Below are 12,858 nucleotides of genomic sequence, written 5' to 3'. Positions count from 1 at the left end.
ATTTCATTTACATATATTAAATACAAAGGACACATATATGATATATATTCTTCACTTACAAGCTGTTACTCTTTATTCATACCAGGCAAATTTTCATGAAAATTAACATGCTCAGACTCTTTTATAATTAATATTTTCACTTATTGTTTAGGCTTTGTTCATCAATCTTATCATTAATTCTAAGCCATAAAATAAAAGAAAAAATAATTTTGGTGCCAGGAAGATAGACATATACCATAAAATTCTTTACTGAGTTGTTACTAGCTTCTGATCATAGTTGAGAGGATGTAGCCATGATCATTATTTTTAAGGTGAAATTCACAGATCATTTAAAAAGTACATGGAACTGTCAGCCATTTTCCTCAAGATCAGAATTCTTCTACTGAACAAATGTATTTTGAACACCTACTATAAGACGTATGCTTAAGCAAGCAAAGAAAAAGTCTAGTTTACTGACAGAGAGGAAGATAACAACAACAACAAAATTGTCTCTGTAGCAGTCCTGTTACAAACTTGTTTTCTTGACTCTAGAATTTGAGGGAGATTTCAGAAAAATCTGAGGCTGTGCTTAAATTACCTTCTTTGTCTTCCGTGTGACATAGATTTATGCCTAAAAGAGAAGATATGGTTATTAGGTTGTTTTGGCATTATTCAATGTAAAGTATTTTTCAATAACTGGAGGGAGCACAAACAAGCTGGTCATCTAAAATGCAAGAGAACCCCTCTCACTACACCGAGTATGTTAAGTGTTGGCCTCAGCTTATTTAATAGCTGATTCCACTCTCTCAGAGCATTCTTCTACAGTGGGAAATGCAGATGATAGATATTTCTGGGCATGCAGATTATCTTACATTGATGGCCTCAGCAGACCCTCTTGTGTAGTAATTATGTTGAGAGAAGCAACAACAAAACAAATAAAAACAAAAATAGATTCATTCCTCCAAAGATCTATGGGAAGAGCCTTGGACATAATTGGGACAGTGAGGAAATTGAGGACAAGTGTCATGGTGTTTAAGCCATCAGTTTTATGAGAAGAAGTGTCAAAAGGCCATGTGACAATGTAACTAGATGAGCAAAATGAGAGAAGAAACACACAATTATGAAAAATCTAATAAAAGAAATATAAACTTTGATAAATGTTGTGCTTGGCTTCTCAGCATTTCATGCCTCTCCTTCCTTATTAAATAGAAGCTGAGCAGGAGGAGGAGGGACTTTTTTTTTCAAGAAAATGGGCCAATAAAGATACTTTCATTCCCCCTGACAATCATTTTCTTCAGGAACTCTCATCTAAGCCAATGAATGAATCACACTGCAGGGCTGGCAGGAGTTGATTTTGGAAGAAGCATGTTATCCTAATCAAACAATAAGATACAAGAAGAAACTTGTTGGAAAGTTCTGGGGAAAGACTTTTCCATTCTTAATTTTTTTTTGCCACAGGGAAAGACCATCTCATTTCTTCCAGACATGATTTTGCCATGCACAAGAACTGTCATTTTTTCTGCTGTTTCTTACTAGCTTTTAGATGAAGCTACACCAGGAGGAGAATAAAAGCTGAAAAGACCTCCAGCAAAAGGAAGCCAGAGCTGTTGGATTAAGTCATTTCAAAGGCCTGCCTTAATCTGTACTATCAGGGTTGTCTTGCTAGCTAAAATACCACAGGTGTGTTTTCTGCTATTCCTTTTAGTTGGAATCATTTCAACTGATATAAAGCCCATATAAGAAAATCCTGCCTATTTTTCCTGAAACTTAATCCTAATTCTCAAAGGCTAATGGGGCAAATAATTAATTATGTTATTCACAAAAATATCCCAATCTAAAGAAATGTTTTATTTAACCTGTATAAATCATTACTTTGTAGTAGTACAATTTCTTTAGAACTCTAATCAATCCATTGAGTTTTTCTTCTTTGTCACCTCAAGCAGTGCTTCTCAAATATTAACATGTATACAAATCAACTGAGGTGAAACTTGAGACTCTGTATTTTCTATAAGTTCCAGGAAATGTTGTTGCAGTTGGCCCATGAGCCACACTCTGACTATCAAAAAGAAAGTAGACAACAGACTTTAACCTTCTGCAGATATAAGATCAACAAATATGAGTAATTATTGGACTATGACCATGTATTGCATTATGTTCAAAAATACCCAAATGAATATATCTATGTAAAACTCAGTTCCACACAGATCTCCACATTCATCACCACCTAGATATTTTAAAAAAATCTTATCTCACAAATTTCTAATGCATTATGGGAAAGAGTGCTGGAGGAAAAACTTCTTGATTACATTTTCTTTTCCCATTAATTCAATTTTAATGAAATAAATTGAATGACTACGAAAAAAATGGAAAAAATTGACATATAAATTGGGCAAAATAAATAATCCCAAGATACACAGATTTATATGAAGAAGCAATGTACATATTTTGGTTACTCAAATAACTTAGGCTATTTTTTTTTTTGGATAGTTTTAACTAGGCCTTCATCCAAATGCTATCAATGCCTTAATTAGTTGTCAATATTTTCTGTACTCTATTTATTTGTATTGTTTTTTATTTCTTTCTTGAACAAAATAGTACTTTTAGTGCTGAAATAAAAAATTATTAAAATGGACAAATTTTATAAAGATGCAAATTTTGGAATATGTTTCAAATAAATATTCTGTAATTATTTTTTTCTATACTTGAAGGACATAACATATAATGAATCCTGAATCATACTGTACCACAGTATTTTGGAAAATGCAAAAGAAGAATCCTTTCCCTTTTCCTGTCTTCACACTTGCACAACAGTATAATCTGTATGTACATTATAAACATTAATTTCAAAATGTTTTATTGACTACCTACTGATACTAGTTGGGATAACTAGATGGTGCAAAACATTAAACAAATATACTCTAATGCAGTAGAAACTTATTCTCACTTACATTTTCCAATGAGTGTGTTTCTGGCAGAAAAGGTAGCTCAGTTCCACATTGTTCTTCAGGAACACAGACTTCTTCTGTATTTTTGCTGCTTCTTTCTCCAGTGCCTTGGAATACTCTGTATTCGGCAAGGGGAAGGCAAAAGCAAAAGGAGAAAATAACAAGTTGTTAAAATCCCTGCTCTAGAAGTGTTATATTGCTTCTGCTAAACTTTGACTGCTGAGAACTAGTCCCCTGCATTGTACAGGAGCTGGGAAATGTAGTCCATAGCTAGGTAACTCTCTCTGAGCAACAAATTAACCATATGGAAGGGAAAGCACACATTTTGGCAGACAGTCATTTCTTCTATAGTTCTATTTATACATTATTTGTTAGCTGTCCCAGATAAGCCACTAGAAAGATAAGTGAGACACTGAACATTACTATCTAATGAGGTAAACAAATATTCACATTAAAACAAAAGTATTACAATGTGGTAAGTACTAGAAGTTAAAGATAGCTAGAAAACAATGTTTCATCAGTAAATTTGCTTTGGAGGAAGTTAATTCTATTGACATTAGAAGAAAAACAGAGTAGGTTTAGAAGAGAGAAGACTCAAGAGGAAGTTTCTTATGTTAGCATTGTCAAGAGCTTGAAGTTAGATATTGACAATGTAAAGGGGGAGCAAATCCAAGAAACATTTACTCAGCAAACTTTTTTTTCTAAAGATCACATTCCAAAAAAGAAGAAGAAGGTGCAGTATGGCATGATTTAGTGCTGACCTTGAGAAACTGAATGGATTAAGACATTGCCTGTTACAGGGAATGAAGAAGTCATAGTGGAATTTGGGTGGGTGAATGTTAATCTGTTTATTTAGAAAGACCTAGTGAAGGGCTGGGCATGGTGGCTCACGCCTGTAATCCCAGCACTTTGGGAGGCCAACGTGGGTGGATCACAAAGTCAGGAGATCGAGACCACCCTGGCCAACACAGTGAAACCCCGTCTCTACTAAAAAATACAAAAAATTAGCTGGGTGTGGTGGCGGGCACCTGTAGTCCCAGCTACTTGGGAGGCTGAGGCAGAAGAATGGTGTGAACCCAGGAGGCAGAGCTTGGAGTGAGCCGAGCTGGCACCACTGCACTCCAGCCTGGGTGACACAGCAAGACTCTGTCTCAAAAAAAAAAAAAAAAAAAAAAGAAAAAGAAAAGAAAAGAAAGAAAGAAAGAAAGACCTAGTAAATATATGTAAAAGGTAATTCTGCGGTTTTTTTTTTTTTTTGGCTCATGAAAGAGGCCAGAGATTGAGAAAAAGAGAGAGGATTTAACATTAGAAAAATGGTACCTAAAACCAAGATGACAGCTGAAATTGTAAAACTGTGTGTATAATTAGAAGAGAAAATGACTAAAGGCAAAACTAAAATTCACGCAATGAATGTAAATGAAATCACATCAGAAATAATATAGATATATTACTAGATTTTTTTGATTAAAAGGAAATAGATCAAGTGACTCAGTCTTCAGAGAAGTAAGTATAGTTGGATAAATTTTCAAGGATTCTTAATGTTTTTTGTGTTATAGACATTGTTATGGTTAATTTTATGTGTTAACTTGACACGGCTAAGGAGTGCCCAGATAGCTGGGTAAGCATTATTTTTTAGTGTCTGTGAGGAATGTTTCCAGAAGAGATTAGCATTTAATTTGGTAGAAAACACTGTCCTACCCAGCATGGGTGGGCATCATCCAATCTGATGAGGCATGAATAGAACAAAGGGCAGAGGAAGGTTGAATTTTTTCCTTTCAGCCTGTCTGCTTAAGCTGTATCAGTCTTCTGCCCATGGACAAGCACCATTAGGTCTCTTGTTTTCAGACCTTTGAACTTGGATTGGAATTACACTACTGGTTTTCCTGGGTGTCCAGATTATGGATGAAGCTGGTGAGACTTTTCAGATTCCATAATTATGTGAGCCAATCCCTCATAATCTTTTTGTACACACACACACACACACACACACACACACACACACACACCCCTCCTAGTATTTTTGAGACCCTTGATCTCCTCTCCTAAAATATACACATACCCAAATACACATTAATAATTCCAACTAACTTTGGAATTTCATAGACTCCTGGATATCCATACATAGTACACTCTAGCACAGTGTACTTAGTGGACTAAAACTCTAAAATACTAAGTTTAAAGAACTTCAGTGAACTATTTCATTCAAGTCAAGGAAAGACCTGAATGTACTTCTGTTTCTTTTTTTTTTTCTGAGAGAGAGTCTCGCTCTGTCGCCCAGGCTAGAGTGCAGTGTTGTGATCTCCGCTCACTGCAAGCTCCACCTCCCAGGTTCAGGCCACTCTCCTGCCTCAGCCTCCCAAGTAGCTGGGACTACAGGTGCCTGCCACCACACCCGGCTAATGTTTTTTTGTATTTTTAGTAGAGACGGGGTTTCACCATGTTAGCCAGGATGGTCGCGATCTCATGACCTTGTGATCTGCCCGCCTGGGCCTCCCAAAATGCCGGGATTACAGGCTTGAGCCACTGCGCCCAGCCTTGAATGTACTTTTGACAAGTTGAAAACTTTAAAGAAGATACTATTAACTCCATTTCTTCTAGATTTTCTAGTTTATTTGCGTAGAGGTGTTTGTAGTATTCTCTGATGGTAGTTTGTATTTCTGTGGGATTGGTGGTGATATCCCCTTTATCATATTTTATTGCGTCTACTTGATTCTTCTCCCTTTTCTTCTTTATTAGTCTTGCCAGCGGTCTATCAATTTTGTTGATCCTTTCAAAAAACCAGCTCCTGGATTCATTAATTTTTTGAAGGGTTTTTTGTGTCTCTATTTCCTTCAGTTCTGCTCTGATTTTAGTTATTTCTTGCCTTCTGTTAGCTTTTGAATGTGTTTGCTCTTGCTTTTCTAGTTCTTTTAATTGTGATGTTAGGGTGTCAATTTTGGATCTTTCCTGCATTCTCTTGTGGGTATTTAGTGCTATAAATTTCCCTCTACACACTGCTTTGAATGTGTCCCAGAGATTCTGGTATGTTGTATCTTTGTTCTCATTGGTTTCAAAGAACATCTTTATTTCTGCCTTCATTTTGTTATGTACCCAGTAGTCATTCAGGAGCAGGTTGTTCAGTTTCCGTGTAGCTGAGCGATTTTGAGTGAGTTTCTTAATCCTGAGTTCTAGTTTGATTGCACTGTGGTCTGAGAGACAGTTTGTTATAATTTCTGATCTTTTACATTTGCTGAGGAGAGCTTTACTTCCAACTATGCGGTCAATTTTGGGATAGTTGTGGTGTGGTGCTGAAAAAAATGTATATTCTGTTGATTTGGGGTGGAGAGTGAAATTCTTCGACAAATACACCCTCCCAAGACTAAACCAGGAATATGTTGACTCTCTGAATAGACCAAAAACAGGCTCTGAAATTGTGGCAATAATCAATAGCTTACCAACCAAAAAGAGTCCAGGACCAGATGGATTCACAGCTGAATTCTACCAGAAGTACAAGGAGGAACTGGTACCATTCCTTCTGAAACTATTCCAATCAATAGAAAAAGAGGGAATCCTAACTCATTTTATGAGGCCAGCATCATCCTGATACCAAAGCCTGGCAGAGACACAACCAAAAAAGAGAATTTTAGACCAATATCCTTGATGAACATTGATGCAAAAATCCTCAATAAAATACTGGCAAACCGAATCCAGCAGCACATCAAAAAGCTTATCCACCACGATCAAGTGGGCTTCATCCCTGGGATGCAAGGCTGGTTCAATATACGCAAATCAATCAATGTAATCCAGCATATAAACAGAACCAAAGACAAAAACCACATGATTATCTCAATAGATGCAGAAAAGGCCTTTGACAAAATTCAACAACTCTTCATGATAAAAACTCTCAATAAATTAGGTATTGATGGGACGTATCTCAAAATAATAAGAGCTATCTATGACAAACCCACAGCCAATATCATACTGAATGGGCAGAAACTGGAAGCATTCCCTTTGAAAACTGGCACAAGACAGGGATGCCCTCTCTCACCACTCCTATTCAACACAGTGTTGGAAGTTCTGGCCAGGGCAATTAGGCAGGAGAAGGAAATAAAGGGTATTCAATTAGGAAAAGAGGAAGTCAAATTGTCCCTGTTTGCAGATGACATGATTGTATATCTAGAAAACCCCATTGTCTCAGCCCAAAATCTCCTTAAGCTGATAAGCAACTTTAGCAAAGTCTCAGGATACAAAATCAATGTACAAAAATCACAAGCATTCTTAAACACCAATAACAGACAAACAGAGAGCCAAATCATGAGTGAACTCCCATTCACAATTGCTTCAAAGAGAATAAAATACCTAGAAATCCAACTTACAAGGGACCTGAAGGACCTCTTCAAGGAGAACTACAAACCACTGCTCAAGGAAATAAAAGAGGATACAAACAAATGGAAGAACATTCCATGCTCATGGGTAGGAAGAATCAATATCATGAAAATGGCCATACTGCCAAAGGTAATTTATAGATTCAATGCCATCCCCATCAAGCTACCAATGACTTTCTTCACAGAACTGGAAAAAACTACTTTAATGTTCCTATGGAACCAAAAAACAGCCTGCATTGCCAACTCAATCCTAAGCCAAAAGAACAAAGCTGGAGGCATCATGCTACCTGACTTCAAACTGTACTACAAGGCTACAGTAACCAAAACAGCATGGTACTAGGATCAAAACAGAGATATAGATCAATGGAACAGAACACAGCCCTCAGAAATAATGCCACATATCTACAAGCTTCTGCACAGCAAAAGAAACTACCATCAGAGTGAACAGGCAACCTACAGAATGGGAGAAAATTTTCGCAACCTACTCATCTGACAAAGGGCTAATATCCAGAATCTACAATGAACTCAAACAAATTTACAAGAAAAAAACAAACAACCCCATCAAAAAGTGGGCGAAGGACATGAACAGACACTTCTCAAAAGAAGACATTTATACAGCCAAAAAACACATGAAAAAATACTCACCATCACTGGCCATCAGAGAAATGCAAATCAAAACCACAATGAGATACCATCTCACACCAGTTAGAATGGCAATCATTAAAAAGTCAGGAAACAACAGGTGCTGGAGAGGATGTGGAGAAATCGGAACACTTTTACACTGTTGGTGGACTGTAAACTAGTTCCACCATTGTGGAAGTCAGTGTGGCGATTCCTCAGGGATCTAGAACTAGAAATACCACTTGACCCAGCCATCCCATTACTGGGAATATACCCAAAGGACTATAAATCATGCTGCTATAAAGACACATGCACATGTATGTTTATTGCAGCACTATTCACAATAGCAAAGACTTGGAACCAACCCAAATGTCCAACAATGATAGACTGGATTAAGAAAATGTGGCACATATACACCATGGAATACTATGCAGCCATAAAAAATGATGAGTTTATGTCCTTTGTAGGGACATGGATGAAATTGGAAATCATCATTCTCAGTAAACTATCACAAGAACAAAAAACCAAACACTGCATATTCTCACTCATAGGTGGGAATTGAACAATGAGAACACATGGACACAGGAAGGGGAACATCACACTCTGGGGACTGTTGTGGCGTGGGGGGAGGGGGGAGGGATAGCTTTAGGAGATATACCGAATGCTAAATGGGGAGTTAATGAGTTCAGCACACCAGCATGGCATATGTATACATATGTAACTAACCTGCACATTGTGCACATGTACCCTAAAACTTAAAGTATAATAATAATAAAATAAAAATAAAAAAGATACTATTAACTCATTACATTTATATAAAATCTTTGCAACAGGGAATTTAAGAATATAATGAAACTCAGTTTTTAAAATTTTACTCTGAGTTTATCTTTTGTAGGAAAACTATGAAATATTATAGGGAAAATATATTTTATGTTGGTCTTTTAGAGCCAGAAATGTTGTCTCCTTCTTTTAGAATGATATTGTCAGATTCACTAATGTTTTCTTTTTATGCTCAGCTTAGTTACAAATTTCCTGATACAATTTATTGACTTTTTTTCCTTTATATTTTCTGTTAGTAACATTTGACTTCTGCTTCTGGTTTTCTGATTTTTTATAAAGAAAATTTTAAAAATCATATTAGAATGGATTGTTTGTTTATGCTCATTAAGAGAAAAAACATCACTGTAAAAAGTGATATCAACAATACCCATCATAGGCAAAGATAACATCTACTAATGACTGAGCCAGGGGAAAAATAAAAGAGAATCAAATAATTAGATTAATTTAAGACAGGCTGATAGAGTATTTTTCGCAGTGTGCTTTCTGGTGTTTTGTTCATTCTGATTTTAGAGGGCCAAAGTAAGTGATATTTTTCAATTTTTTAGAGAATTGTATTCTTTTGATTAATTTTCATCTTTTGATTTATATCACTTGTTTATTGCTACAGATTACAGAATATAAATTCATATATTTCAGTCCTTTCTTAAAAGTTAACATTTTTCTATATATTATAGATTATTGTAAATAATAGTAAGATCAAAAACTTTACAATGTCAGCTACTGCCAACTCTTGGTAATTTTTTGCTTCTCAGCAAGTAGTTAAATTTGTTGTTGTGGATTTTTGTCTTTTGTTTATTTCATTTTTATGTTTTTGTTTATTTAGCAATGGTTACTCCATCTGAATGAGTGATTACTGAACATCTGAAGTTCAAGGTGGCAGAGAATCAGAGACATAGAGAGAGAATTAGTTATAACACTCCATGATGAGTTTATTCCATCCTTAAACCCCAAAGGCAAGATCTCATTTATACTCCACTCACAAGCAGAACACATTTGTTCCTGTTTTTAATGATTATTCACAGTCACTATTTTTTAACTCACTTTTATTAAGTGCTAATCAGACACTAGGTATTATATTGAGAGCTGAGGAATAACTACGCAAGTTGACATATACTAAATGCTGAAAAAAGCATACAGAAACTCTTAGTTCCTCCTTATAATACGAACTCAGATTCTATGACCCATTTATTTAGCCACTTGTTATTAAACACCTTTGATTTGAGGTGCCCTCCCTTCCCATGAGCCCACTCTGTCAACATTCTTCAGCTTTCGTGGCTCAGAGCTGACTGGATCTTCCTTTGTAGTCACAACTGCACTTTGAGAGCAATCACTTTTAATGGAAGAATGACAAGGGGGCCATTTAAAAATGCAAAAGGACATCTCCCCACATAACTGGATTGGCGACAATTCCTCACTCATGGAGACCACAGCGAACATATTAAACAATGGGACTGGAAAGAGAAAGGTGAGCAATAGGAGTAATAGGAGTTTTCAGTTTTCAAACTGGAAAAAAAAAAAAAAAGCTTAAAGGAAAGTGAAAAACACCACCAGTGGGAGATCAAGTCTGTTTTCTCCCTGATTGCACATCCCAAGCCCTGCCCCCAATATACAGTACTCCTGTGGAGGTAGACTAATGATAGGATTGTATGAGAGACAAGAACAGAATTCGATCAGCTGTTGAAAAAACATGAGAGGAACTTTATGTGGGAAGAAGGAAGAGGTTAAAGCTCTGACTCTCCCATGGCATTTTCTTTTAGGATCTGTCTTCTGGAATGGTAGCTGGGAAATTGCTATGTAGATGTCCATTCCATTCTCCTTTGACCACAGATGCTGGAAAACTATAATCATCTATATTAGCAGCTAGGATTCTGAATGCAAATTTGGTTTCATCAATTACATTACATGCATTCAAGAGAGATTTGAAAAATAGGAATAGGAGTTATGTTGCTGCTCTTTTTATTGTTTTCTCCTGGTCATAAAGAGGTGAATATCTAGTTTACTTTCCACAGGCCTGCCTAGTGTAGGCAGAAGCTATCCTTGAAGCTTCCTGTGGAGCTAGATTTCCATAAAGGAGCTTGACAGGTGGCCAAACCCTCATAAATAGTAAACTGGCATTGTACTGAATATATTTATTCTTTAACTCCTAGTGGAATGGATGGTAATTAAACTAGGTGGTTGAACAAAACGTAAGTCACTGGGCATCCAGGACTTGCAAACTTTCTTTTCTACCCCAGAGCAACATCTCCTTCTTCTGTGCTGCTACTTTCTCATCACTATTAGTGTACATTTTTGTGTAAGTGGATAACTATCAGAATAGACTCTGAGCGCCTTAAGGGCACAGGTGTGTGGGTGCTTGTGTGTGTGTGTGTGTGTGTGTGTGTGTATATATATATATATATATATATATATATATTTATGTATGTGTGTGTGTATTCTTTGTTTAGGCCATTCTTCAAACTGTTTGCAGTTTTGCATTTGAGAATATATACTGTTTTCTATTTGTCATTTCTAAATGTATATAGGTATAAGACTGAATATTTTCAGGAGTGGAAAAGTATTTTTAGATATATATCACAGTATCATGCAGTAGAATGTAGTAATCTTCTTCAGTTCACATCTATTAACTTGGTTGGGAATTGCGGCAAGGTGTGGGTAAGTACCAGAAAGCAGATACAGGCCTTGGAAATATTGATTCCCTTCTAGGTTTTCCTTTTTGGACTTTTACATTGTTACCCATCTGCAAGACTTCTACTCCTTTTTTGAGTAAGTATTTAATGCAGCACTAATGCATCCACATTCTGTTTGCAAATGTGCTGAAGTTCTGCATGTCAGTGGACATAGAACACGGAGTTTTTGAAGTAGATGGAATCTGAGTGATCATTTAACTCAATCTTATTATTTAACAGCTCAAAAATTTGAGGCTGACCTAGAGTATGATATGTCCTCAAAGTTACATAGCTAGTTTTCTAGCAGAACCTACATCTGAACTCAGTTTTATGACATTCCCATTACCTGCAATCTTCTTGTGCTTCACACCTTGTAACCCATAATTTGTTGTCAGAATTGCACAATTTAAGGGAATATATATTCACATAAAATTATCTGCTTCATTTTTCTATGAACGCAAGGTATCAGAATGAGGAAACATTGGAAAAGGAAGAAAAAGTGTGATTATTGGCCATAGGAAAAGGTCTAATGACCAGGATTTGGGGAATAAATTGAATTTATTCACAGAATTATCACAATCTTATGAATAACTTTTAAAAGCAATTAATAGGCCAGGCGTGGTGGCTCATGCCTGTAATCCCAGCACTTTGGGAGGCTCAGGCGGGTGTATCACCAGGTCAGGAGTTAGAGATCAGCCTGGCCAACATGGTGAAACCCTATCTCTACTAAAAATACAGAAAAAAAAAAAATAGGCCTGGTGGCGGGTGCCTGTAATCCCAGCTTCTCAGGAGACTGAGGCAGGAGAATCACGTGAACCTAGGAGGCAGAGGTTGCAGTGAGCCGATATAGTGCCACTGAAATCCAGCCTGGGTGACAGTGCGAGGCTCTGTCTCAATTTAAAAAAAAAAAAAAAAAGAAGAAGAAAAAGCAATTAATAACTCATTATTTCTGCATTTTACTCATGTTCAAATATTTTTATATATTTTTCATATAGTGTTTAGAGTATAAAATTAAGTGAAAAATGATGACTTGAATCCAAATTTTTTTAAAAAGCTCATTGTATGCTTTCATAACATATATTGTTTAGGACGTAATACTTATTGAACGATCGTAAAACGTAGCCTTTAAATATTGTCTCCTTCAAATTTATTTATCACGCTTGCATACAAAACAACCCACTTAACTGTTTATTTGCCCTATGACTTTATTTTGATTTCTACGGTTTTTCCTCTTTCCCACAGAATTATTGTTTCAGTACCTTTCGTTGTTAAAAAAAAAAAGAGCTAATCAAATGTGTGAAGTATTATAAATGATTAGCAGAGAAGGCAATTATCTGCTTAGAGATAAATATTGCCATCTTTTATATGCAAAGATTATAGTACACTGACGGTAGGATTTAACCAATGCTGGGAAATCAAAAGATGTATGTAATTCTCTCAGCT

The sequence above is a fragment of the Homo sapiens genome, chromosome 4 (assembly GCF_000001405.40).
Source record: "Homo sapiens chromosome 4, GRCh38.p14 Primary Assembly".
In the NCBI taxonomy this organism is placed as follows: domain Eukaryota; kingdom Metazoa; phylum Chordata; class Mammalia; order Primates; family Hominidae; genus Homo; species Homo sapiens.
This window is presented reverse-complemented; position numbering follows the sequence as displayed.